This window comes from Homo sapiens, chromosome 19, assembly GCF_000001405.40.
Source record: "Homo sapiens chromosome 19, GRCh38.p14 Primary Assembly".
NCBI lineage: Eukaryota > Metazoa > Chordata > Mammalia > Primates > Hominidae > Homo > Homo sapiens.
Window position 1 is genome coordinate 40924265 of NC_000019.10, and position 26832 is coordinate 40951096.

At 45.2% G+C, this 26832-nt stretch overlaps 1 pseudogene across 1 annotated transcript; it reads left to right on the forward strand.

Annotated features, from left to right (window-relative positions):
- On the forward strand, positions 1-26396 carry CYP2B7P (cytochrome P450 family 2 subfamily B member 7, pseudogene; annotated as a pseudogene). Its single transcript, NR_001278.1, has 9 exons — positions 1-179; positions 11833-11995; positions 12128-12277; positions 14705-14865; positions 17032-17208; positions 17801-17942; positions 20067-20254; positions 20447-20588; positions 24789-26396. The product of NR_001278.1 is annotated as a cytochrome P450 family 2 subfamily B member 7, pseudogene (transcript).
- Positions 26397-26832: the final 436 nt, after the last annotated feature.

Consider the following 26832-nt stretch of genomic DNA (forward strand, 5'->3'; position numbering starts at 1 on the left):
CTGGAACCATGGAGCTCAGCGTCCTCCTCTTCCTTGCACTCCTCACAGGCCTCTTGCTACTCCTGGTTCAGCGTCACCCTAACTCCCATGGCACCCTCCCACCAGGGCCCCGCCCTCTGCCCCTTTTGGGGAACCTTCTGCAGATGGACAGAAGAGGCCTACTCAAATCCTTTCTGAGGGTAAGACACAGACGAATGGGGTCTGAGGGTGGGCTGCTTCTTGTCTCTGTACTTGGGGATCCTTCACCAAACAGAATGAGGCAGACTTCCAGAGTCAGGGGTGGCACGGGGATGGTTGGTGAGTACAGAGCATAGTGAAGCATGATGGGTGGTAGTATTAGGAGAAAAACATCAGTCAAATTAAATTTAGCAGAGTTTATTTGAGCAAAGAAGTGACTCATGAATCGGACAACTCCCTAAACCAGGAGAGACACCACACGGCAGTATGGGCAAGCAGTATTCACAGGCAGAAAAAGGAGGTGACATACAGAAACAGCCTGGCTGGCCACAGATCACAGCTTGCCTTACTTGGTCACAGTCTGAGGAGCTAGCAGCCTGTGGTGGACTGAAAGCCCAGCTGCTCTGATTAGCCAACATTTGGCTACTTGTCGCAAGAATCTATTCATCTGGGCCGGGTGCAGTGGCTCACGCCTGTAATCCCAGCACTTTGGGAGGCCAAGGCGGTGGATCACCTGAGGTCGGGAGTTTGAGACCAGCCTCGCCATCATGGGGAAACTGTGTCTCTATTAAAAATACAAAAATTAGCTGGGCATGGTGGTGTGTGCCTGTAATCCCAGCTACCCAGGAGGCTGAGGCAGGAGAATCACTTGAATCCAGGAGGCGAAGGTTGCAGTGAGCAGAGATGGTGCCACTGCACTCCAGCCTGGGCGACAGAGCAAGAGTCCATCTCAAAAAAATAAAAATAAAAAAAAGAAGAATATACTCCCTCCCAAGTTAGGTTGCAGTTCACTCTATGCAGAGAGAACTTTATGTCAAATTTAATTTAATTAAACAATTCTCCCCTTTTGATGAGCCTCAAAATTTTGAGATTGACCAAAACCTTGGGCATCAACATTACTTCTGTCACCATCATAATGGACTTGTTTGCTCTCAGTATGGAATTCACAATGGACAATGTCAAAGTAGTTGAGTGATTCTTTGTTTTCTTCATGTTTTTGTTATTCATACTGTAATGAAGCCATTGGATGTACAAAGAATGGCTGCATATGAGCATTTAAGACTCTCTCTCTTTTTTTTTTTTTTTTGAGACAGGGTCTCACTCTGTCACCCAGGCTGGAGTGCTGTGGCATGATCATGTCTCACTGCAGCCTTTACCTCCCAAGGCTCAGGTGATCCTCCGCCTCAGCCCCCCGAGTAGCTGGAACTATAGGTGCATGCCACCACGCCCAGCTACTTTTTGTATTTTTTGTAGAGACAGGGTTTTACCATGTTGCCCAGACTGGTCTCAAACTCCTGGGCTCAAGCAATCCACCTGCCTCGGCCTCCCAAAGTGCTAGCCATTGCACAGGTGTGAGCCATTGCACCCGGCCAAGACTCTCAAGAAAATACAACACATCAGGGAGACTGTTATGATGGCTCTCAGGAGGGTAATACAAAGAAAATGAAGTCTGTACCTTACCGGGAGTCTCCATGAACCAAACTGATCAAAATCGAATAATTCAAAGCTCAGGCAATAAAGATAGTTCAATAGTATTAGAGTCCAATTGGTCATATACTTTGTTCAGAGCACAATGGTGATTAAGGACTAGAGCTTGCTATAAAATAACTTGATTTACAGAGGCATTTGTTTTTGTAGTTCACCTGGTAACACATGTCATAGTACCTTGGAGACCCACTAGAAGAAACATTAAGAGTAGAAAACCTTGTGATAGGCTTGCTGTATTAGTCCATTCTCACAGTTATAAAGAAATACTTGACACTGGGTAATTTATAAGGAAAAGGGATGTAACTGACTCACAGTTCCACATGGCTGGGGAGGCCCCAGGAAACTTACAATCATGGTAGAAGTTGAGGGAGAAGGAGGAAACTTACATTCATGGTGGAAGGTGAAGGAGAAGCAAGTACCTTCTTCACAAGGTGGCAGGAGAGAGAGAGAGAGAGAGAGCCAAGGGGGAAGAGCCTCTTATAAAACCATCAGATCTTGTGAGAACTCACTCACTATCACAAGAACAGCATGGGGGAAACTGCCCCCAGGATCCAATTACCTCCTAGCAGGTTCTTCCCTCCACATCTGAGGATTACAATTCAAGATGAGATTTGGGTGAGGACACAGAACCAAACCATATCACTTGCCATCACCATTCAGGATGCTTGCAAATCAACTGTTACCTGCACCCGTAAATACATATCTTCTTTTTCCCCTGAGAATTTTCCTTAGTGTATTTGGTGGCAGTGTCTAGAGAAACAGCATTGTCAGCCACATTTTAAATTAAGTTATATGTACTAGTAAATTCACGGGAAAGATAAGAACAATATTTGGTTTTGTTCAGCACCATACACAAGCCTCCAAGATGGGCAAAGAGGAGATCTAAAACTGCATGATGTTCCATTAAGCGTTTTTGTTTAATACAATGTTCTCATCCTCCTTTTGGAGAGTGGCTTCTACCCATCTGAACTCCTTGGAGGTTCAATTGGCTACATAATCCAAGATGTCCCTTAATGTATAAATTAGCCTCAGATTCCATACAACTGTCACCCCAATATCACCAAAAGTGAGCACCCAGGGACTCCATTGGAACCTTTTCTCTGCAGAAACCAACTTATCTTCATCGACTTTGAGGTTGATAGTAATTTCAGTTATTGACTGTTTTGGCTTTTAACTGTGGGAGGTATTAGGGAACTCTCAAGGAAAAAATTTGGAAAGCAGCAGTGAGCTAGGCCAAATAGCAAGTTACGGGCCAGTGAGGAGAAAGAACAGAGTAAGCGAACCTCAGCAGACCCAAGGTAGGCACTTGTGGGGTTGGAAAAGAGGGTCACCTACTGGCATTAGAGCAGATATCAGTTAAATTTGTTTACACATAAGTCTGCACAGCTCTTGAACAAGGTGGGAAGCTCACTTTTTTTGTGGTCTCTTTCTATCATGCTGCAAGGGTGCATAGCCACATTTAGTTGGAAAGAGACTTTACTGTATTTACTTATTTATTTATTTAATTATTTTTTATAGCGTTGGGGTCTTGCTATGTTGACCAGGCTGGTCTCGAACTCCTGGCCTCAAGTGATCCTCCCATCTAAATCTCCCAAAGTGCTGGGATTACAAGCACGAGCCATCATGCCTGGCCACTTTACCATATTTAATTCAGTAACATTACACATGCAATTAACCGTACCCACATAGGTAGTCCCCAGGTCCTATGCGGGATGCCTGGAAGCACAATATGCTTTTTGCAGCCATCATTCAGATACATTTTCTATATTTGGTAGTGATTATATTATTAGTTAGTTAATAGAATGTTATTACATACTGTTATTGTATTATATTAACTAATAACTAGTTATTAGTTAATAGTATGTTATTACATACTGTTATTATATTAAATAACTAATAACATAACCACTATCAAATATTTCCAGTGAGTGCAAAAAAGCAAGTGGCAATTGATGTCTAGAATATCAAGATATAGCTTTCCACTCCTCCTTTGGGGTTTCCGGGTGATTCCCATTGGGAACACAAAGAGGCATTGGCGCCAGTGAAATTATTTCCTGATTTTGGGGAACTGGCTCACAAACTCAACAATTGCTTGTCTTTTTTCCTAGGGTATAAGCCTTTGCTAAAGCCATTCACAGATTATTGTACTATGGATTTTCTTGTAAGGAAAGGGAAAGGGTTAGGACAGCAAGAAACAGGGAAGAAAGGATAAAAGATAATGCTTTCATGATGGAAGAGAAATCTTGATCCACAGTCTTGGAAAAGCTGTCCACATATAAGATGCCAACTGCTTCTTGGGAAAAACTTTCCTGGTCAGCTTTGCCTTAAGGTCTCAACAGACATAAAGTTCTAGGAGTCTAGAAGGACCCTTTTCAATTGAGAGATGTGGATCCAAGATCCCAGACCCTGAAGTTTTGCTACAGAGAAGAACTTGGCATTGTCCTTTGCAATGGAGTACAAGGACAGTCTTAGAAGAACCTGGTATGGTTACTTCCAATGGAGTTCAAGGACAGTTTCTCTGGTGTCATTTCCAAAGAGCCCAACCTCTAAATTATAGATAGTGAAAGGTCTGGTTGTCATCAACTGATGGGTCATCAATGACTCCTTTTACCTGGTGAAAACATGCCTTGGCATAATGTATTAAAGCCTTGCATTATTGAATCATATCAGAGTTTATAAGAGTGGGAGATACATGAGATTCTATTATTGGGGCATAGGACTTCCTATTACTATTTTACAAGTGATCTATCTATGTCTTTCCAATAGGAGTGGATCTGATTGCCGTCAATCAATAATACCTTTGACCAAGGGACTCCAATCAATTCAGCATGCTTTGCCTAATGCCTTTTGTTTGTAATACTGTTGCGGGACAATCAAAGACTGGAGAGACCAAAAAAGGTTCAGGAGAGTTTATTAAATTAAGGTGACCACTGGCTCAGCCAGAAATATGTCCAGAGAGTCTGAGCCCCGAACAAAGGGCTTTGCCTGCTTTTAAACATCTTAAGGTGGGAACTACATGAGGTGGGAAGCAAGTTACAGAAGGGAGAAACAAAGCAGTTAATTAACATTTCTTACATCTTAAGAAAGACATGTGTTGCAACCTAAACTTATCAGTCTTATGACCCTGCAGCCATGCAGGAACTCACTGGGCCTGTAATAAACTTTAAGGAATGTGGAGTTGGGAAGAAGAGATAAGGTCCATTGTCCACAGAGAGAAGAAAGGTTGTTAATATTCTCTTTTAACTTGAATGTAAGGTGGGGGTCACACTTTGCAGCAACTTTAAAAGGATTTTAAAATTTCTATTACTACTACTATTAGGTTATAGTTGATTTCATTAATTCCTTCTTCAATACCTTATTTAAGTATTTTACCACTTCTCTAGTGAAGCAAGTACCTCTACCACTGGAGAGTTCTCCAGGAATGCCAAGTAAGGAAATACATTTTCTAATAACATTTTAGCTACTGTTATGGCATTGATCTTTGTGCATAAAAAAGCTTTAATACAACCAGAAAACATGCAATGAAGGTGGCAGTTGAATTAACTCCATCTTCAAGTGTTCAAATGATCTACCAAGTCCCAGAAATATATCACCTGTGGTTTTTGGTTTTTGTTGTCTTACTAGAATTATGGATTTGATAAATCAAATATTAGTTATAAACCATTAGAACAGTCACCTCATCAATATTTTTTCATAATTTGGATCATTTTATCTCTTCTATGATGAGTCGTGGAATGCAGAGCTTTTAGTAATGGAAATTTTAAGAACTCAGGAAGGATCAGGCGGCCATCCAGTGTCTCCATGAGTGCATGCTTCACACTGGAATTACAGCCTCTTAAATACAAATTTTAATACCATAAGTACCAATTTATGCTTCTCCAATTCAGGTACATAACACTGGTTTATTAAATAGGTTATCATAGGTAATTTGATGGTGCCATTGCACTCCAGCCTGGGTAACAGATTGAGACCCTGTCTCTGAATTGGAACTGCACGGGGGCACTGTCCTTGGAGGGGTGAGTGGGCATGACGAGGTGTCTGGGTATGAGCCACAGGTGTAGAATTTCACTCTTCTCTGCCATCCTCTGTTACATCCTGGGTACCTGCCTGCCACTGAAAGAATGAGGTAAAAGAGGTGGTGGCACGAATCAAATAGATTTTGCTGTGCCAATGAGAGAGAGCAGACTAGCCCATGTCAGTGCCAGGAGAGTGGAGGAGAGAGGGAGAGCAGCAAAGGAGTGTGGGTAGGGAGTGCTCATCAACAGTACACATAGTGCCCTATACCGGTAACTGCCACTGGCTCAGTATTTACCTGGGTTATCACTGCTTACCATGCCTGATTTTATGATTAATTATCTACTTATCATTACTAATCAATCAACCCACTTTCCAATGGGAGAATTAGAATACTGACAATACCTTCCCCTTCCCCCTCTCATGTTGACCATACTCCTGAATCTTAGGCTTGTTATCCTTTTGCTATTAATAGAGTTTTTTTATTTCTGATCAATGGTCTTTTTACTGATAGAGTAAATATGCATATATACAGAGTATATATGCCAATGGTACTATGAATTTTAAAATTATTTGCTTAGACAGAATATGTGGACATACAAATGATGAATGTGATAATTGTCATACATATATATTTATCTTAGACACTTAGTCAAAACATGTGGTTTTTGGTTATGAGTTAGACACTGTCACTTTAGCTGGAAGATACAAAGTAATTGGGTCATAGACTCTCAAATTATGGAACACTTAGATTTTTCAGGGGAATGACATGGAGGGAGCCAAGGAGTCTTATGATTAGGTAAAATATTGTTTGGGTGGCTCACGACCCCACTGGGCAACACTCAAAGATGTGGTGGCTTATGCCTGTAATCCCAACACTTTGGGAGGCTGAGGTGGGAGGATTGCTTGAAGCCAGGAGTTCAAAACCAGCCTGGGCAACTGAACAAGACCCTGTCTCCACAAAAATTTTTTAAAAATTTAGCCAGGCATGGTGGCCTGTGCCTGTAGTCCCAGCTACTTGGGAGACTGAAGCAGGAGGATCACATGAGCCCCGCAGTTTGAGGTTGCAGTGAGCTATGATCACGTCACTGCACTCCAGCCTGGGCAACAGAGCAAGACCCTGTCTCTTAAAAAAAAAATCATCTGCAGTGTGAGGAGTGACAACATTTAGGAAAGTGTGCATAGGTTTAAATTCTGGTCAAAGACATCCTACACAATTCACTGAACCTTCTCTTTAAGGGTTTTTTCTAAACTCTGCAGACACTATCTGGAGACCAATCATGCCTCTATTAACAGAATTTGCTGCTCCTTCTAGCTCTTGGTATCTCACTGCCCCCTTTCTTTATGAGAGCTGGCATGGTCATTGAATATCCCAATCCTTTACAAATTCTGAAACAAGCAAAACTGTCAATGAAATTCATATTTGCCTAAAATGAGTTTTCAAAAGGATCTTTGTGGCTATCTTGTTAGTTCATAGAAAGTGGAGGCTTGTCAGGAACGATATTGAATTTTTCATTTAAATTGTTTTAGAGACAGGGTCTCAGTCTGTTACCCAGGCTGGAGTGCAATGGCACAGTGATAGCTCACTGCAACCTTGAACTCCTGGGCTCAGGAGATTCTCCCGCCTTAGCCTCCAGAGTAGCTGGGACTACAGGTGTGAACGACCATGCCCCACTATTTTTTTTTATTTTTGTAGAGACGTGTTGGGGGAGGGTCTCACTATATTGCCTTGGCTGGTCTTGAACTCCTGGCCTCAAGCAATCCTCCTGCTTCAACATCCCAAAGCATTGGGATAAGTTTTGAATAGACATGTTTGACCCTCTCCCCTTCTTCGTTGCAGCAAAGATTTCCATTTTCTCACAGGGAGGGCTTGGGGTAAATAGTTTGTTTTGTTGTTGTTGTTGTTGTTTGAGGATGTGGGTGGGTCATCTTGGTTAATGTCAGTGCAAGAACAGTGTCCGTTCCTCATTATTGGGGTTCCTTAGCCATCCAGGCAAGCAGTAGCTCCCTTGAGAAGACTTCCTGACCCCCAGGTCCCCACCATAGGCTCTCATACACCAGCTGCCCCTCCTTACTGAGCCTATGTCCTTGACAATGCTGCATTTACTTGTGATCCTGTGGCTGATCTCTCCCTCACACTTCCAGACAAGGAAGGCCTGCGAGGACTCACCACAGAGCTGAACATAGTGCCTGGTACACAATAGGCGTTTAGCAAATATGTGTATAGAAACAAATGAAGGAGTCAGTGAGTGAAAGCTCCAAGCCTGACTCAGCAGAACTGACAGTCGGCCGGGGCCTGCAAAGTGCTACCAGGCCCCCAGTAGGGGGTCGCAGATCTAAGGATCCCTCCCCACCAAATAGAGTCCCATCACATAGGTGAAGGTCTCAAGTGCCTATTGTTTTCTTTTCATCATTTTCCATGTGTCACGAGAATATCATGCTATCATGTGAATCAATGGACTTAGTTTTCCCACTAGAGTAATGTGTCTGGGAATTACCTGTGTTGTCATGGGGATTTTCTAGGTGTCATTTACAACTACCTGTGGACAAGGTGAGGTGCTACCCTCATCTTAGAAGTAGGGATGGTGGCCGGGCATGGTGACTCATGCCTGTAATCTCAGCACTTTAGGAGGCTGAGGCAGGCAGATCAACTGAGGTCAGGAGTTCGAGACCAGCCTAACTAACATGGAGAAACCCTATCTGTACTAAAAAAACACAAAACTAGCTGGTGTGGTGGCACATGTCTGTAATCCCAGCCACTCAGGAGGCTGAGGCAGGAGAATTGCTTGAACACAGGAAGCGGAAGTTGCCCTGAGCCGAGATTGCACCATTGCACTCCATCCTGGTCAACAAGAGTGAAATTCTGTCTCAAAAAACAACAACAACACAACAACAGCAATAACAAAAAAACAGTAGGGATGGAGATGCTCAGCCTGGGGAAAGCACTTGTCCAGTGGCACACAACTAGGAAAAGGAGAAGCTGAGCTCCAGCAGGAGGTCTGTCTCCAAAGCCCTCCTAGACTAAAGCTGCTTAACATTTTGTGGATTATGAAATCCTCTGAGAGTTTGATTAAAGCTGTGGCCCCCTCTTTTCCAAATAGGCACATACATGTTTGCATAAAGTTGTGAGGCTTCACAGACTCCCTAAAACTCTTTCATAAACCTTCCAAGGGTCCTCTAGGTATTCATGACCGTCTATTATGATTGCATCTCTTGGGGGTAGGGGAAAGAGGGAGGGCATGAGCAAGTGTGTGTCAAGGCTGAGGAAGGTGGCGCTGTTGCTTCTCCATTTCCCAATAAGCTTCCAGATTCCTTTTGGAGCCAGAGGGATGCGGGCTCGTGTCTCAGATTCAATTCTTATGCGTTGAGTCACAGTTTTCTCTTCTGTCAATTAAGACCATGACAATGAGAATGTGTGCCCCTAAGGTGGTTGTGAGAATTAAATGGGATATTGCATGCAGCTAGTATATAATAAGTGCTCATTAAATGGCAACTACCTTGATCCACTCATTCATTTATTCATGAATCCAATAACAATTCACTGGGCACTTTCTATGTACCAGGAAATATTCTATGAATTGATGATGTGGCATCTTGGACAAGACATACGAGGTAACACTGTGCTTATGGACATTCCATTGGTGGAGACAGATAAGCAAAAAATAAACAGATAAGGAAATGTTAGGTGGACAAGAGCTACGATTAAACTAAAGCAGGAGGATATTTCAGAAAGTGATGGAGAACTACATTAGATTGAGTGGTTAGGGAAAGACTCCGCCTTGCTTTGTTTCTTAGCAGGGACCAGGAAAGATTCAGGTGGAAGGTGCCAGAAGGAGGCAGGGTGGTTGCAAGAATCCTGAAGCAGGAAAAATCTCAGGGAACAACATGGAGGAATCAGTGGGAGGAGAAGTCAGAGAGGTGATGGGGCCACATCATGTAGGACCATGTCAACCACAGGTGGAGACTTCAGATCTTATTCTCAGCAAAGTTGGAGTATTGGAGGCCTTGGTGAGCACAGGGATATTAATTATTTTACATTTTAGTGGGGTTACCCTGGCTTGTGGGGCAGTGAAACAGTTGTTAAGGGGTCTAAGAATGTAAGGCAGGAGACCAGTGAAGGGGCTTTGCAGAGATCAATGCAGGGCATTTGTAAGTAAACTTAAACATTTTTCTAATTTTTATGTCAAGTTTTTATTGAAATTGAACATCACTATAAAAAGTGCACAGCTCAATGAATTTTCACAAACTGAACATACTCATGTAATTGACATGCAGGCCAAGTAGCAAGAGTCCCCCAAAACACCACACCCCGTCCTTTTCTAGTCACTATCCACCTACCATCTTGATCATGGGTTGATTTTGTCTGTGTTTGAACTTTTTTTTCTTTTTTGTGAGATGGAGTCTTGCTCTGTCACCCAGGCTGGAGTGCAGCAGCGTGATCTCGGCTCACTGCAACCTCCACTTCCCCACGCTCAAGGAATTCTCTTGTCTCAGCCTCCCGAGTAGCTGGGACTACAGGTGAGGGCCACCACGCCAGACTAATTTTTGTATTTTTAGTAGAGACGGGGTTTCACCATGTTGGTCAGGCTGGACTCAAACTCCTGACCTCGTGATCAGCCCGTCTCAGCCTCCCAAAGTGCTGGGATTACAGGTGTGAGTCACCATGCCCGGCCCTGTGTTTGAACTTCATACACATAAAATTATGATGCATGGACTCTCTTGTGTCTAGTTGCTTCCACTCAACATTATGCCTGTGAGTTTCAGCCACGTTATTGCATGTAGCTGTAGTTTGTTCTTTTTCGTTGCTGTATACTATTCTATTGTGTGAACTCTCACTGTTTCTCTATATCTGTGTTGATGAGTATTTTATAAAGAAAGCTTCTGTGAATATTTGTTCATTTTTTGGTGAACACACATACACATTTGTGCTGGGCATGTACCTGAGAGTGAAGTGGATGGTTTCCCAGTTATCCATTTGTTCAGCTTCAGGAAATACTGCCCAGCGGTTCCCCAAGTGGCTGCACAGTAATCCCACCTTATCCACCGGAGATATGTTCTGAGACCCCCAGTGGATGCCTGAAACCCCAAATAATGCTGAGCCCTATATATACTCTTTTTTTCCTATACAATCACATTATACAGGGAGGGTGGTATACACAGTGCAGACGGGGTGGACAAAGGGATGATTCATGTCCTGGGTGGGACAGAGTGGATGATGAGAGACATCATCATCCTACTTAGAATGGTGCACAACTTAAAACTTACAAATTGCTTATTTCTGGAATTTTCTATTTAATATTTTCAGACTGTGGTTAGCTGCAGGTAACTGAAACTGCAAAAAGCAAAACCAGGCCAGGCGCGGTGGCTCACGCCTGTAATCCCAACACTTTGGGAGGCTGCGGTGGGTGGATCACGAGGTCAGGAGATCGAGACCATCCTGGCTAACGTGGTGAAACCCTGTCTCTACTGAAAATACAAAAAATCAGTCAGGCATAGTGGCAGGTGCCTGTAGTCCCAGCTACTCGGAAGGCTGAGGCAGGAGAATGGTGTGAACCCGGGAGGCGGAGCTTGCAGTGAGCCGAGACTGCACCACTGCACTCCAGCCTGGGCGACAGACCGAGACTCCGTCTCAAAAAAAAAAAAAAAAAAAAAAAAAAAAAGCAAAAGCAAAACCACAGATCATAAGAAGTATGGGGTGAGGGTGATATTCGTAGTATTTTATCAACCATCTCTACTGTTTAGGGCAGCAGCCAATTAGAGCAGACCCTGGCTGGGCCACCAATTAACCTAAGCTTGTCCAACCCACCTTATTTTGTTGTTGTTGTTCTGTTTTGTTTTGTTTCAGTCTTTCAGCAGCCTGAAGCCATGGTTTTCAGATTTTGTCTCTAGTAATATACAGAAAAGAAGGATGAGGAAGGGGTTTTACTGGCCCAATCAGAAACAGAAACTAAGAACCTATGACTGTATTCTCTCCCTTGGACACCGTTAACTGTTAACCCTTACTTGCTGGATCCTGGCAGGGGAAAGGGCAGCCTGGGGAGGCGGATGTTGAGGAGGGGCTAATTACCAATCTGGTATGTAAGTATTTTGATAGTTTTACAAATGAGGTGTATGCTGACTAACAGCCACCCCTGGTGTGGATGTGATTGGCAGTTCCGAGAGAAATATGGGGACGTCTTCACGGTACACCTGGGACCGAGGCCCGTGGTCATGCTGTGTGGAGTAGAGGCCATACGGGAGGCCCTGGTGGACAACGCTGAGGCCTTCTCTGGCCGGGGAAAAATCGTCATCATGGACCCAGTCTACCAGGGATATGGTGAGGGCTTCAGAGGCACTGGGAGGGGGCAGGTGGGGGTGCATCAGGGAAGGGAGTATATGGGGGGAAGAAGGACTCAGAGCCTTCTTCCAACTTCTTCTGCAACCAACTCACACCTCCCCTGCACTGCAGGCATGCTCTTTGCCAATGGAAACCGCTGGAAGGTGCTTCGGCGATTCTCTGTGACCACCATGAGGGACTTCGGGATGGGAAAGCGGAGTGTGGAGGAGCGGATTCAGGACGAGGCTCAGTGTCTGATAGAGGAACTTCGGAAATCCAAGGGTGAGTCCTGGGAGACGAATAGGAAAGAAAGGCAATGAAACACTGAGAGATGCAGGCACGGGAATAGAAAGGCAGAGAGGTATACATGGGCAGAGACAGAGACAGACGAAACCAGAGACATGATCTGACAGAGGTATAGGGACAGAGAGTGAGAGAGACAGGGGAATAGAGAGGGACGGGGATTGGCAGGAGAGAAACAGAGCCAGGGAAAGAGAGAGATGCCAGGTGTATAATGTCCAAAAGTTACTCAAAGAGGCTGGATGCGATGACTCTCACCTGTAATCCCAGTACTTTGGGAAGCAAACAGCCTGGGCAACATAATGAGATCCTGTCTCTACACAATATAAAAAAGAAATGAGCCAGGCATGGTGGTGTGTGCCCGTAGTCCCAGCTACTTGCTATGGTGGGACTACAGGATCACTTGAGCCCAGGAGGTTGAGGCTGCAGTGAGCTGTGATTGTGCCACTGCACTCCAGCCTGGACAACAGAGCAAGATCCTGTCTCAGACAAACAAACAAAGAAACAAACAAACCCTGAAAGACATATATTTTCATGGATCAATTGTGTCTATCGAAGGCAAAATCAGAAGTTATGTAAAAGAAAGCAAAGAGATAAAGGAAAAAACTACAGACATTTAACAAATAATGACCTGTGTTTTCCTTGCCCTGGGTGAAGTGCTGATGAGCTGGCAGTGAGCAAGCAGGCCAGGTGGGATGTTCTGCCCGGGTGCAGCTGGAGGGGTCATCAAAGAATCACTAGGTTATTTTTGAGTTCTCCATAACTGGGTGTCTGTGGGACATGTAGGTGACGGGTCTCTGGCTAGTACCTCCATCTCATTTATGCCAGGTGTTTACCATCTCTCTTATCAAAATTTCTCAAGAGACTCTGGGACGTAAATGCAGAGGCTGCGTGGGGAGGTAGAAACACAGGAGCTATAGGCAAACAGGGACAAGAAGACTGAAGAGAAGGACAGGAAGAAACAGAGTGACACAGGCAGGAGGAAAGAGACAGATGGAGGGACCAAAACAAAGAGATATATAGACTGGGCATGGGGCTCATGCCTGTAATCCCAGCACTTTGGGAGGTTGAGGCTGGTGGAACACCTGAGGTCAGGAGTTCAAGACCAGCCTGGCCAACCTGGTGAAACCCTGTCTCTACTAAACATACAAAACTAGCCACGCATGGTGGCACGTGCCTGTAATCCCACCTACTCAGGAGGCTGAGACTGGAGAATTGATTGACCCTGGGAAATGGAGGTTGCCATGAGCTGAGATCATGCCACTGCACTCCAGCCTGGGTGACAGAGTGAGACTGTGTCTCAAAAAAAAAAAAAAAAAAAAAAAGAGAGAGAGAAATATACACACAGAGAGACAGAAAGAAACAAAGGCAAAGAGAAATTGAGGCAGAAAAAATTAGAGGAGAGACAGACAGACAAGGCTCAAGAAAGGGTCTGCAGAGGAATGAGAGAAGACAGGCAAGTGAGACCCAGAGAGAGGCTGCACTAACCTGACATTCTTGGGTGCTCACAGACCACCCTCCCTCCAGCTGGGGCCAGTGCTGAGCCTGGTGTATACAGGTATCACTTAACAAGTGCAGAATAATGCCCGGATGACTGGAGAGCCCTAGATGTAGAAAGAAGAGATTATGGGGGAGTAACAGGTGGGGGTAGAAAGATGGTTTTTTATTTGTTTTAAATTAGGGACAGGGTCTCACTCTGTACCCAGGCTGGAGTGCAGTGGCACGATCATAGCTCACTGCAGCCTCAAACTCCTGGGCCCATGTGATCCTCCCACTTCAGCCCCCTAGACTCCTTCAACTGGGACTACAGGCATGTGCCACCATGTCTGGCTACATTTTTAACTTTTTTGTAGAGACAGGTTCTCCTTATGGTGCCCAGGCTGGTCTTGAATTCCTGATCCTTTTGCCTCAGGCTCCCAAAGTGCTGGGATTAGAGGTATGAGCCACTGTGCCCACCCAGGGCTTTTTAATTTATACAAGCAATTGATTAAACACCTACTCTGCCCAGCCCCTACCCCTGGGATTTAGCTGTATTCACTCCCAGAGTCAGAGGTGGGGCCGGAGAGGAGGTGCAGAGTGAGAACCGGCTGCATGGACTCGATAGCTGTGTTGCCTGGGTCTAAATCCTGGCCTCAGGAATGAGTAGCTGTGCAACTTTGGTCAAATTACTCAACCTCTCTGTCTGCCCATCTATAATTTGGAGCTAATAATCAAATTGCATCTGCCTCACATTGTTGTAGTGAGAGTTCAGTGGAATTACACGTGACGTGCTGGTACATAATTAGCTGTTATGGTTATTCTCATGTTTACCATTACTGAGTGATGGCAGACAATCACACAGAGATAGGTGACAGCCTGATGTTCCCCAGGCCCTTCAGTCTGTGTCCTTGACCTGCTGCTTCTTCCTAGGAGCCCTCGTGGACCCCACCTTCCTCTTCCATTCCATTACCGCCAACATCATCTGCTCCATCATCTTTGGAAAACGCTTCCACTACCAAGATCAAGAGTTCCTGAAGACGCTGAACTTGTTCTGCCAGAGTTTCTTACTCATCAGCTCTATATCCAGCCAGGTCCAGGAGAGGGAGAAGGAGAGGGAGGGTGGGGGTGAGGTGAACATCCAGGACACACGAGAAAAGGATGACCTGACTTGGGGGCTCAGAAATGCAGCTTATCCCTGGAAGAAATGCAGAGACCACGTGGAGTCAGGGACATGGAGACCTGGAGGGAGGGGAGGCGGTGAGACAGGGATAGAGACAGTGAGAGAGAGAATGGGGCACGATGGGGAGGCAGAAACAGAGTCAGAGAGAGACTGAGAGAAGAAAGATGAGCAAAAACAAGACAAAGAAGGGCAGAGATCAAGAGATCCTGAGAGACAGAGTTGATGAGAATGAATGTGAAAGAGAGGGAGAGAGAGAATGAATCAGGCTTTGGGCTTGATCTCTGCTCTTCTGCTCCTGGATGTCTTTTTTTTTTTTTTTTTTTTTTTGAGACGGAGTCTCGCTCTCTCAGCCAGGCTGGGGTGGAGTGGTGCCATCTTGGCTTACTGCAACCTCCATCTCCTGGGTTCAAGTGATTCTCCTGCCTCAGCCTCCCGAGTAGCTGGGACTGCAGGCATGTGCCACCACATCTGGCTAAGATTTTTTTTTTTTTTTTTTTTGAGATGGAATCTTGCTCTGTTGCCCAGGCTGGAGTGCAGTGGTGCAATCTCGGCTCACTGCAACCTCCACCTCCCTGGTTCAAGCAATTCCCCTGCCTCAGCCTCCTGAGTAGCTGGGATTACAGGCACCTGCCACCACGCCTAGCTAATTTTTTTGTATTTTTAGTAGAGACAGGGTTTTGCCATGTTGGCCAGGTTGGTCTTGAACTCCTGACCTCAAGTGATCTGCCCGCCTTGGCCTCCCAAAGTGCTGGAATTACAGGCATGAGCCACTATGTCCAGCCTACTCCTGGTTCTTCTGTATGCTTGCTTCTCTGTCTTTGGTAAAGCTCCTCACCTGAAGAAATTCAAGGATACAAGACAATAAGGAACAGCATTTCTTCATTTTCTCCCATTGCTCCTTCTCCCTGTTTTTTTTTTTTTAAAAAAAAAAACTTTCCACAGATTATAAAGGTAATCTTCTGCTCTTTTAAAAGAAAATAATAAAATGTCTCCTTATTGATTAACCTGGAAATATGCCTATTACATATTAAATTTAAGAATATCAAGCTGCAGAACAGTATGCATAGCTGTAGTTTGTTGTTGTTGTTTTCAGACAGTATCTTGCTCTGTTACTCAGGCTGGAGTGCAGTAGTGTGATCTCAACTCCCTGCCACCTCCACCTCCCAGGTTCAAGCAATTCTCATGGCTCAGCCTCCCGAGTAGCTGGGACTATAGGCGAGCGCCACCACACCCAGCTAATTTTTTTGTATTTTTAGTAGAGATGGTGTTTCACCATGTCGGCCAGGCTGGTCAACATAGCTACAGCTCTTAAGCAGGGGTGTATGTTGGATTCACATGTGGGGTTGTCACAGTTATGGATTTTCAGGACCCTACTTTCCAGGCGGTCTGATCTGGAAAGTCTGGGATGGGGTCCAAGGTGAGTACTTGTAACAAGCCCGACCAATAATTCTAATGTTCTCCTCCCACCGAGAACCACAGAGAAAAGTCTGGAAGGAGACCCACCAGACAGTTAACAATGGTTATCTCTAGAAGGAGAGATTAAGAAGGAATTTTACATCGCAATATACGTTTGCATTTTTGCAATTATTTGCAATAAATTAGGCATTCCATTCTTCATCAAAGTAATAGAAATAACCTCCAAAATACATAGTCCTAACATGTCAGCAGGCTTATCTTGTGTAAGAATCATTTTATTAATGTCTGACACAGCAAGGGAGATGAGGAGAGGAGGGAAGAGGGAGAGAAAAGTATGAGAAAGACAAATAAACAGGCCGAGGTAGACAATGGGTGACACAGAAAGGAAGTGAGACAGAGACTAAGAGAGATAGAAAGGAGAGAGGCAGGGAGATGGGGCAGAGGCCAAGAAAAAGACAGAAGGATGAGGGAGGAAGATGCAGAAAGAGGTAAATGTGAGATAGATCAAAGGAGATATAGAGTCAGTGAGTGAGGGGTTCAGAGGCAGAGGGGAGTGGGGAAGTGGGGTTCCCATGGAGGGATTGGGGCCCAGGAGGCGCTCTCTCCCTGTGACCTGCTAGCTCAGCCCTAGGCAAACCTCACCACCCCTTCTTTCTTGCAGCTGTTTGAGCTCTTCTCTGGCTTCTTGAAATACTTTCCTGGGGCACACAGGCAAGTTTACAAAAACCTACAGGAAATCAATGCTTACATTGGCCACAGTGTGGAGAAGCACCGTGAAACCCTGGACCCCAGCGCCCCCAGGGACCTCATCGACACCTACCTGCTCCACATGGAAAAAGTGGGGTCTGGGAGAGGAAAAAGGGAAGGGAGGGGAGGGAGGGCAAGATAGAGAGGTGAGAAGAGGGAGGGAAAAGGGGTAGGGAAGGGGAAGATGGGGAGTGAAGAACAAAGATTAGGGAGGGGAGAATAGTGAAAAGGAGGAGAGCAGATGAGGAAGGAAAGAAAGATGAGGTGAAAGGAAGGAGAAAATAGGAGGAACTGAGATGGAGAGAGAGTGGTGGTGGGAAGTGGGGGAGAGAGAGAGAGGGAGAGAGAAGACTGGCTGAGGAAGGAATTTGGGGCAAGAGACAAAAATACAGCAACAGGAGAAAAGACTCACGGAGGTAGAAAGAGACTGGGAGACAAAAAGAGAGAAACACATCAAAAAGATGTGGAGAGAGATAGAAACAGAGCCAGGCAGAGTAAAAAGAGGCTGAGAGAGATGAGTTAGAGATGTGCAGCTGGACATGTAGAGGACAGAGAAAAGCAAATTGGGCCAGATAATGTCAAAGACCTTCAGGCAAACGGAGGGCAGCCAGGGAGACAGGCGTGTGCACAGCAAGGCTACAGCCTCTCCTGACCCTGCCCTCCCCTCCCTACTGTGGACGCAGGAGAAATCCAACCCACACAGTGAATTCAGCCACCAGAACCTCATCATCAACACGCTCTCGCTCTTCTTTGCTGGCACTGAGACCACCAGCACCACTCTCCGCTACGGCTTCCTGCTCATGCTCAAATACCCTCATGTCGCAGGTGGGCCAGGGACAGCCAGTCAAGGGGGTCTTCTGGACTGCAGAAATGGGGCTATGGGTACCACCTGGATGAGAGAGGGGATGCTGGCTTCCTATTCCGGGATCACTGTAGGCTCTGGACTAGCTTCCAATCAAGCCAATTCTGTTGGTGGATGCATGGACGCATGAAGAATCTGTCCATGCGTTCTCCCATTGTTTTCTTCCATCACTCAAGGATCTTTTTTTTTTTTTTAAGACAGAGTCTTGCTCTGTCACCCAGGCTGGAGTGCAGTGGCGCGATCTTGGCTCACTGCAAGCTCCACTTCCAGGTTTCATGCCATTCTCCTGCCTCAGCTTCCTGAGTAGCTGGGACTGCAGGCGCCCGCCGCCACACCCGGCTATTTTTTTGTATTTTTAGTAGGGATGGGGTTTCACCATGTTAGCCAGGATGGTCTCGATCTCCTGATCTTGTGATGTACAAATTTAGGGAGTACATATGCAGTTTTGTTATGTGCGTAGGTTTTGTAATGGTCAAGTTAGGGCCGTTAGGGTATTTATCACCCGAACAGTGTACATTGTACCCATTAAGTAATTTCTCATCATTCACCTCCCCCTTCTGCTCCCTCGCTCTTCTTAGTCTTCACTGTCTGTTGTTCCTCTCTCTGTGTCCATGTGTACACATTTTGTAGCACTCACTTATGAGTGAGAACATGGAATATTTGACTTTCTGTGCCATGACTTAAAAATTGATCCGTTCATCCACTTATCTTTTCATCTATTCTTTGTTTAATTTATTAATTAAAGAATGTGTACTCACTGATTTTTTCATTTATGATTCATCCAAGGACATATACTGTGTCATTCATTTATTTGGATTACTTGATCCACAAGTTGATCCTTTGAAACAGTGATATGTTGATGGACAATTTGTCATTGATTCATTGGTTCATTTATTCATTCATTCATGCATTCTTCCATCCTTCTATGAACTAGGTTTCACCCTTATCCTTCCATCAGTCAGTCTTTCAATTCACCCTTAATCCATCCATGCTTTCCTTCATTTATCACAATAATTCACTCATTTATTCACCTCTGATCTATTTATCATTCAATCCAGCCATTCATTTATTCCTTTATTTACTCATACTTCACTAATTTACTTATTCACTTGTTCTTCCATAAATCTAGCCATTCATGTGATTATTCATTAATTGGGTTCATTGATTTCTTTGTCTATGGACCATTCATTAGTGATTAATTAATCAATCAATCCATCTATTAATTGGTAAGTAAATATATACATCCATTTATTGGTTTGTTCATTTCTTCATCAATCTTTCCTTCCATGAATTGATCTATTGATTGATTGATTGATGTTTTTATCCAGTTGTTCATGGATTCATCTATTGTTCTATTACACTGTTATATACCTGAGGACCAAGAATAGTGTCTCACCTATAATATACACACAATAAATATTAGTTTATTTTCTACTCATCTTAGAGAGGGTGTTTTGATTTGTGGCCTGGAGTTCTTAATCTGAAATTCCATGCAAAATCGTGTTATGTGTGTGCATATGTGTGTGTGTACCTGTGCATGTGGGAAGAGGATCCATAATAGTCATTAGATTTCAAGCAGTGAGAATTCTTGTTGCTTCCTTCCTGCTCTCCTCACCCCACGCTGATTGCTTTGAGGAGTATCAAAGATCTAAGCCTTTACTGTAGGTTTTTAATTGGTCAATAGAAAGTAGTGTCCCTGCTGAAAGGTCTCTTTTTAAAAAATTTTCTTTCCTTCTTTTTTCTTTTTTTTAATTTTGAGACAGAGTCTTGCTCCGTCACCCAGGCTGGAGTGCAGTGGCATGATCTCAGCTCACTGCAACCTCCACCTCCTGGGTTCAAGCGATTCTCCTGCCTCAGCCTCCTGAGTAGCTAGGACTACAGGCTTGCACCACCACACCCAGCTAATTTTTTGTATTTTTAGTAGAGATGGGATTTTGCCATGTTGGCCAGGCTCATCTTGAACTCCTGAACTCAAGCAACCTGCCCACCTCAGTCTCCCAAAATGCTGGGATTACAGGTGTGAGCCACCATGCCTGGCCTCAAATGCCTCTTTAAAATGAGATTCATTCATCTTCTTCTCTGTGCAGAGAGAGTCTACAAGGAGATTGAACAGGTGGTTGGCCCACATCGCCCTCCAGCGCTTGATGACCGAGCCAAAATGCCATACACAGAGGCAGTCATCCGTGAGATTCAGAGATTTGCTGACCTTCTCCCCATGGGTGTGCCCCACATTGTCACCCAACACACCAGCTTCTGAGGGTACACCATCCCCAAGGTAAGACTGGCTGCACCCCCACATCCCTCCTGTGTGGGCATCCTGGATTTTCTTAATCCCCAAACTCAACCTTTTGTTAGCTTCTCAATTGAGTCCCCTTGTTTTTGTTTTTTTCTTTTTCTTTTTTGTGCTGTGTGTGTGGAGGGTGGGCAGGGAATGGCAATATCTTTTGATCTTGTGATCCTTCCTCAGGACACGGAAGTATTTCTCATCCTGAGCACTGCTCTCCGTGACCCACACTACTTTGAAAAACCAGACGCCTTCAATCCTGACCACTTTCTGGATGCCAATGGGGCACTGAAAAAGAATGAAGCTTTTATCCCCTTCTCCTTAGGTAAGCTGGACCCACAGTTTCTTTCCCAGACACCAGAGGGCAGGTCCTATCCTCAACTTGAGAAAAAAAATGACAGGTCCTTATTAATTGAGCACTTAATATATTCCAATTGCTTCACCTGCCTTATCCCCTTCCATCTTCACTACAACCCTGTAAGGAGGCTTGAGAAAGAAGATGACATTCCCAAAGGCACATCTGGGCAAGCAGGAACTTGGGCAAGTATTTTAACATCTCTAAACCTCAGTGAATTCATTTTCTTAAAAAGAAAAAAATCTGTTGAGCACCGCTGTAAGCCCAGTGCTGTACTAGGGGCTGAAGACAATGCATCAAACAGGTCACACGGAGACAGGGTTCCTGCCCCAGGAAATTTAAAGTCCAGCAGGGAAGATGGACATTCATCAAATAATAATAAAATAATCATCTCATGAAATGAATGAATGCCTGCAACATGCTTGGAACTGCCTGGCACAAAGGACATGCTCACGGGGCAATTATTATTATAATTAGACATAATTGTGATAAGTGCTCTAAAGGGAGCTTTGGGAGCACAAAATAGGAAATAGTAGCTAATCTTGTGGTGGGTCATTAAGGAAAAGCTTACCAGAGGAACTGGCTTCCAAGCCGAGATGTTCATGGGTGGGCGTCAATCAATGATTGCAAAGTGTGTTCCAGGCAAAGGAAACAGCAAGGGCAAAGGCTAAAGGTGGAAATGTGATGGTACCATTGAGAATCTATAGGAAGTCCAGTGAGCCTTGGGTGTAGATTGCGGAAGGGAATAAGACAAAGGGCTCAGCTGGGCAGGACCTTGAAGGCTGTGGAAGGAGTTTGGATTTATGGTCTAGCACTGGGGAGGTGGAGAAGGTCTTGACGTGCTCTGACTTGTCCCAGTTCTCATCCTCCACTCTTTGGCTGGTTAAGAGAAAAACTTTAGGCAAATTAAACTTAGCAGAGTCTATTTGAGCAAAGAAACAATTCATGAATTGGGCAGCACACGGAACCAGGAAAGGTTCAGAGAGCTCCACCCAGCAATGTGATCAGGCACTATTTATCCATAGGGAAAGGAACTGAGGTACAGAAACAGCCTGATTGGTTACAGCTCTGTGTTTGCCTTATCTGAGCATGTCTGGGCAGCTTGTAGCCTGTGACTGGCTGAAGCTTGGCTGCCCTGATTGTCCAAGGTTACTTGTTACAAGAATATACTCTCAAGTTACATTGCAGTTTGTTTACATGTTGAGTTACGTTACAGTTTGTTATGCAGGGAGGCTGCTTTAGGCCAAATTTAATTTAATTTAACACGCACCATCCATGAAAGGCCCCAGAAACAAATCCCTAGTCTTGAGTTTCATCAGTGACTTCAGCAACCCAGGGTCCTGGCCCAGCCCCTGGTTTTGTGCAGTACAGTGACCTCCTTCCACATTTTATCTTCAATGACAGTTAGGAACACATGGGGTGATGGCTTGAGGGTCAATGTCTTCTCTCAATTTTGCTGTCTTGTTTTTTTTTTTTTTTCCTTTTTTGAGACACCGTCTCGTTCTATCACCCAGGCTGGAGTGCAGTGGCACAATCTCAGCTCACTGCAAGCTCTGCTTCCTGGGTTCATGCCATCCTCCTGCCTCAGCCTCCTGAGTAGCTGGGAGTATAGGCACCTGCCACCATGCCCGGCTAATTTTTTGTGTTTTTTAGTAGAGACAGGGTTTCACCGTGTTAGCCAGAATAGTCTTGATCTCCTGATCTCGCGATCCACCCGCCTCAGCCTCCCAAAGTGCTGGAATTACAGGCGTGAGCCACCATGCCTGAGACATTATCTTAAGGTTTCTTTTTTTTTTTTTCTTCAGACAGGGTCTTGCTCTGTTGCCCTGGCTGGAGTGCAGTGTCATGATCTCAGGTCACTGCAACCTCTGCCTCCCAGGTTCAAGCGATTCTCCTGCCTCAGCCTCCCAGGTACCTGGGACTACAGGTGTGTACCACCATGCCTGGCTAATTTTTTGTGTTTTTAGTAGAGATGGGGTTTCACCATGTTAGCCAGGATGGTCCTGATCTTCTGACCTGGTGATATTCCTTCCTCAGTCTCTCAAAGTGCTGGGATTACAAGCGTGAGCCATTGTGACAGGCCTGCTATTTTGTTTTAAGAGAGGCAGAGATGTAGGGAAATAAGGACAGAGACAGATAAGTAACAAAGATAATAAGATTGAGAAACATAGTTGGGGACAAAGAGGGAACACACTGAGAGATAGAGATGGGGAGACAGTGGCAGAAGGACAGACAGCAGGTGAACATCAGGCAGTATACGGAGAGGAAGAGAGAGAGACACACACAGAGAGAGCCACATAAGGAGAAGAGGAGGAGGAGGAATAAGAGGAGAGGGAGGAGGAAAAGGAAGGCGGAGGGGAGAAGGAAGGAGGGAAAGGAGAGAAACAGAATAAGAGATAGGAAAAAGAGAGAGTGACACAAGAAGAGAGGAAGAAAGAATGAAGGAGACAAATAAGGTATCTTTAGAGGGAGATGAAAAGAAAGAAGGAGAGAGAGAGAGATTGGGGAGCAATCAGATTCAAATAGATGGAGATAGGAGGTTAAGCAAGATGGAAGAAAGCCAAAAAAGGAGAGGAAAAGAAGAAAAACTGTGTCTGACAGGTATAGACAGAGAAAAAGACAGGAGTAGGGCTGCCAGGGGCAGAAAGAAAGGTATAACCCAAGCCAAAAGGGTACTGCAGCCAAAGAAATTCGAAAGGTGTCCAAACAGATGGCCCCAGAGATGGGGAGGGCGTGATGAGAGGGAGATAATAAGCATCAGGCTGTTGTGGAAAATGTTAGGTCACACAAAGAGCTACAGAAGAACAGGCCCAGAGACCTGCCTGTTTCTAAGCTCATGTTGCCCAACTTCTGGATGTGCCAAAGGGACATGGACCCATTTCCAGACACCTCCACATAGACACACTTGTCCAACAACTTGGCAGGCATAGGGAATGCCTGAAAACTCACACTTGACATGGCCTTTCCAAGGTTTGCAGATTATGAAACACTGAAGTGAAGGGAAAGGCTCCCTTTGTCTCTGCCTCAGCTTTTTCCAGCTCCCTTTGTTCTCATTTTTCTCCCAATCTGTGGTTTAGAACCTACTGGGGGTTCCTTGCACCTCTGAGAATCGGTGGAAGCCATAGACCCTCCCTGTCTCATATGCATCAGTCCCATTCACAATTTATATACAATTTGGGTTTTTTACCCCCTGAGCTCTTGAAGCCTGTGGATCTCAGGCTGAGACCAGAAAACAGCCTAGAGACACAGACACAGACACATGGCCAGAAACACATACCCCACAGATACCCCCAGAAACAAACACAAGGCGATAACCAAACCTTAAGGCTCCTTAGCAGAAGCCAAGTGCTGTTCTAAGAATTTTTACAATTGTCTCCTTTAACCTCAGAAGAGCCCTTTGAGAGAGGTGCCATTCTCCCCGTATGAGAAGTGAACACTAAGAATGTTGTCATAAATGTGCTCACACACATGTAGAGGTACACACACACACACACACAACCAGAAGTGGGTCATTATACACTGTGGGGATCACCAAACCCTTTGGAACTGTAACAGAAGCTACAAACTCTCTACTAGAAAAATGAACATGGCGCCGGGCGCGGTGGCCCACGCCTGTAATCCCAGCACTTTGGGAGGCCAAGGTGGGTGGATTACCTGAGGTCAGGAGTTCGAGACCAGCTTGGCCAACATAGTGAAACCCCATGTCTACTAAAAATACAAGAAATTAGCCAGGCGTGGGGGCAGGTGCCTGTAATCCCATCTACTTGGGAGGCTGAGGCATGAGAATCGTTTCAACACCCTGAGAGGCAGAGGTCGCAGTGAGCCGAGATGTCGCCGCTGTGCTCCAGCCTGGGTGACCGAGAGAGATTCCATCTCAAAAATAAATAAATAAATACATAAATAAATAAATAAATAAATAAAGAGATTGAGAGAGAGAGAGTGAGAGCGAGAGCGAGAGCGAGAGAGAGAGAAATGAACATGGCACATCCATTCAAAGATTTGCACCTGGTTTCAGAGCAGCTTCCTAAAAGTCCACCCTGAATTGTAGGTTAAAGGCCAGTCTTATGCAAATCTCTTGCAGTGGACATACATGTCTGGGCTTAGGGACATGGCAGAGCGAAGTGTATGCACCTGCCCTGTGCCCATGCTGGTGACCTTCTGTGCCCACAGGGAAGCGGATTTGTCTTGGTGAAGGCATTGCCCGTGCGGAATTGTTCCTCTTCTTCACCACCATCCTCCAGAACTTCTCCGTGGCCAGCCCCGTGGCTCCTGAAGACATCGATCTGACACCCCAGGAGTGTGGTGTGGGCAAAATACCCCCAACATACCAGATCTGCTTCCTGCCCCGCTGAAGGGGCTGAGGGAAGGGGGTCAAAGGATTCCAGGGTCATTCAGTGTCCCCACCTCTGTAGATAATGGCTCTGACTCCCTGCAACTTCCTGCCTCTGAGAGACCTGCTGCAAGCCAGCTTCCTTCCCTTCCATGGCACCAGTTGTCTGAGGTCGCAGTGCAAATGAGTGGAGGAGTGAGATTATTGAAAATTATAATATACAAAATTATATATATATATTTTGAGACAGAGTCTCACTCAGTTGCCCAGGCTGGAGTGCAGTGGCGTGATCTCGGCTCACTGCAACCTCCACCCCCGGGGTTCAAGAAATTCTCCTGCCTCAGCCTCCCTAGTAGCTGGGATTACAGGTGTGTGCTACCATGCCTGGCTAATTTTTGTATTTTTAGTAGAGATGGGGTTTCACCGTGTTGGCCAGGCTGATCTCAAACTCCTGAACTCAAGTGATTCACCCACCTTAGCCTCCCAAAGTGCTGGGATTACAGGTGTGAGTCACCATGCCCGGCCATGTATATATATAATTTTAAAAATTAAGATGAAATTCACATAAAATAAAATTAGCCATTTTAAAGTGTACAATTTAGTGGTGTGTGGTTCATTCACAAAGCTGTACAACCACCACCATCTAGTTCCAAACATTTTCTTTTTTTCTGAGACGGAGTCTCACTCTGTCACCCAGGTTCGAGTTCAGTGGTCTTGAACTCCTGATGTCAGGTGATTCTCCTAGTTCCAAATGTTTTCATTATCTCCCCCCAACAAAACCCATACCTATCAAGCTGTCACTCCCCATACCCCATTCTCTTTTTCATCTCAGCCCCTGTCAATCTGGTTTTTGTCCTTATGGACTTACCAATTCTGAATATTTCCTATAAACAGAATCACACAATATTTGATTTTTTTTTTAAAACTAAGCCTTGCTCTGTCTCCCAGGCTGGAGTGCTGTGGCGTGATTTTGGTTCACTGCAACCTCCGCCTTCCAAGTTCAAGAGATTCTCCTGCCTCAGCTTCCAAGTAGCTGGGATTACAGGCATGTGGTACCACGCCTGGCTAATTTTCTTGTATTTTTAGTAGGGACATGTTGGCCAGGCTGGTTGTGAGCTCCTGGCCTCAGGTGATCCACACGCCTCAGTGTCCCAGAGTGCTGATATTACAGGCGTAATATGTGATCTTTTGTGTCTGGTTCCTTTCACGTTGAACGCTATTTTTGAGGTTCGTGCCTGTTGTAGACCACAGTCACACACTGCTGTAGTCTTCCCCCATCCTCATTCCCAGCTGCCTCCTCCTACTGTTTCCCTCTATCAAAAAGCCTCCTTGGCGCAGGTTCCCTGAGCTGTGGGATTCTGCACTGGTGCTTTGGATTCCCTGATATGTTCCTTCAAATCCACTGAGAATTAAATAAACATCGCTAAAGCATGACCTCCCCACGTCAAGAGGTGATCTGTGCCATTTTGTGTGTGATTCTTTTATTGTCAGGTCCCTAGGGATTTTTCTGGAAGGAATGTTGGTGAGAACGCCTCCCTCACCTCAGTGACAACTCTGTGAAGGGCCAAACCATTGTCTTGCTCGTCACTGTACTCTCAATACAGCATGTGGCATATGACAGGTGTTCAAAATATTTGGTGAGGAATGAATGAATGAGTGGCTAAATCAGCCACCCACTACCCCCACAGCCCACAGAAAATGGAGCTAGGCTACTCCATCAGACTGTGTCTCCTCCATATCCCACTTTCTTCTTTGGCCCAGAATAAATTATCATCCCCAAAGGGCCCAGGATGCCCCCAGTTCTGCCTGCCAGTTACTCTCAATCCCCTGTGCTGCAATGCCACCTTTTGATAAAGCTTAGCGCTATTCTTGAAGTGGAACCAC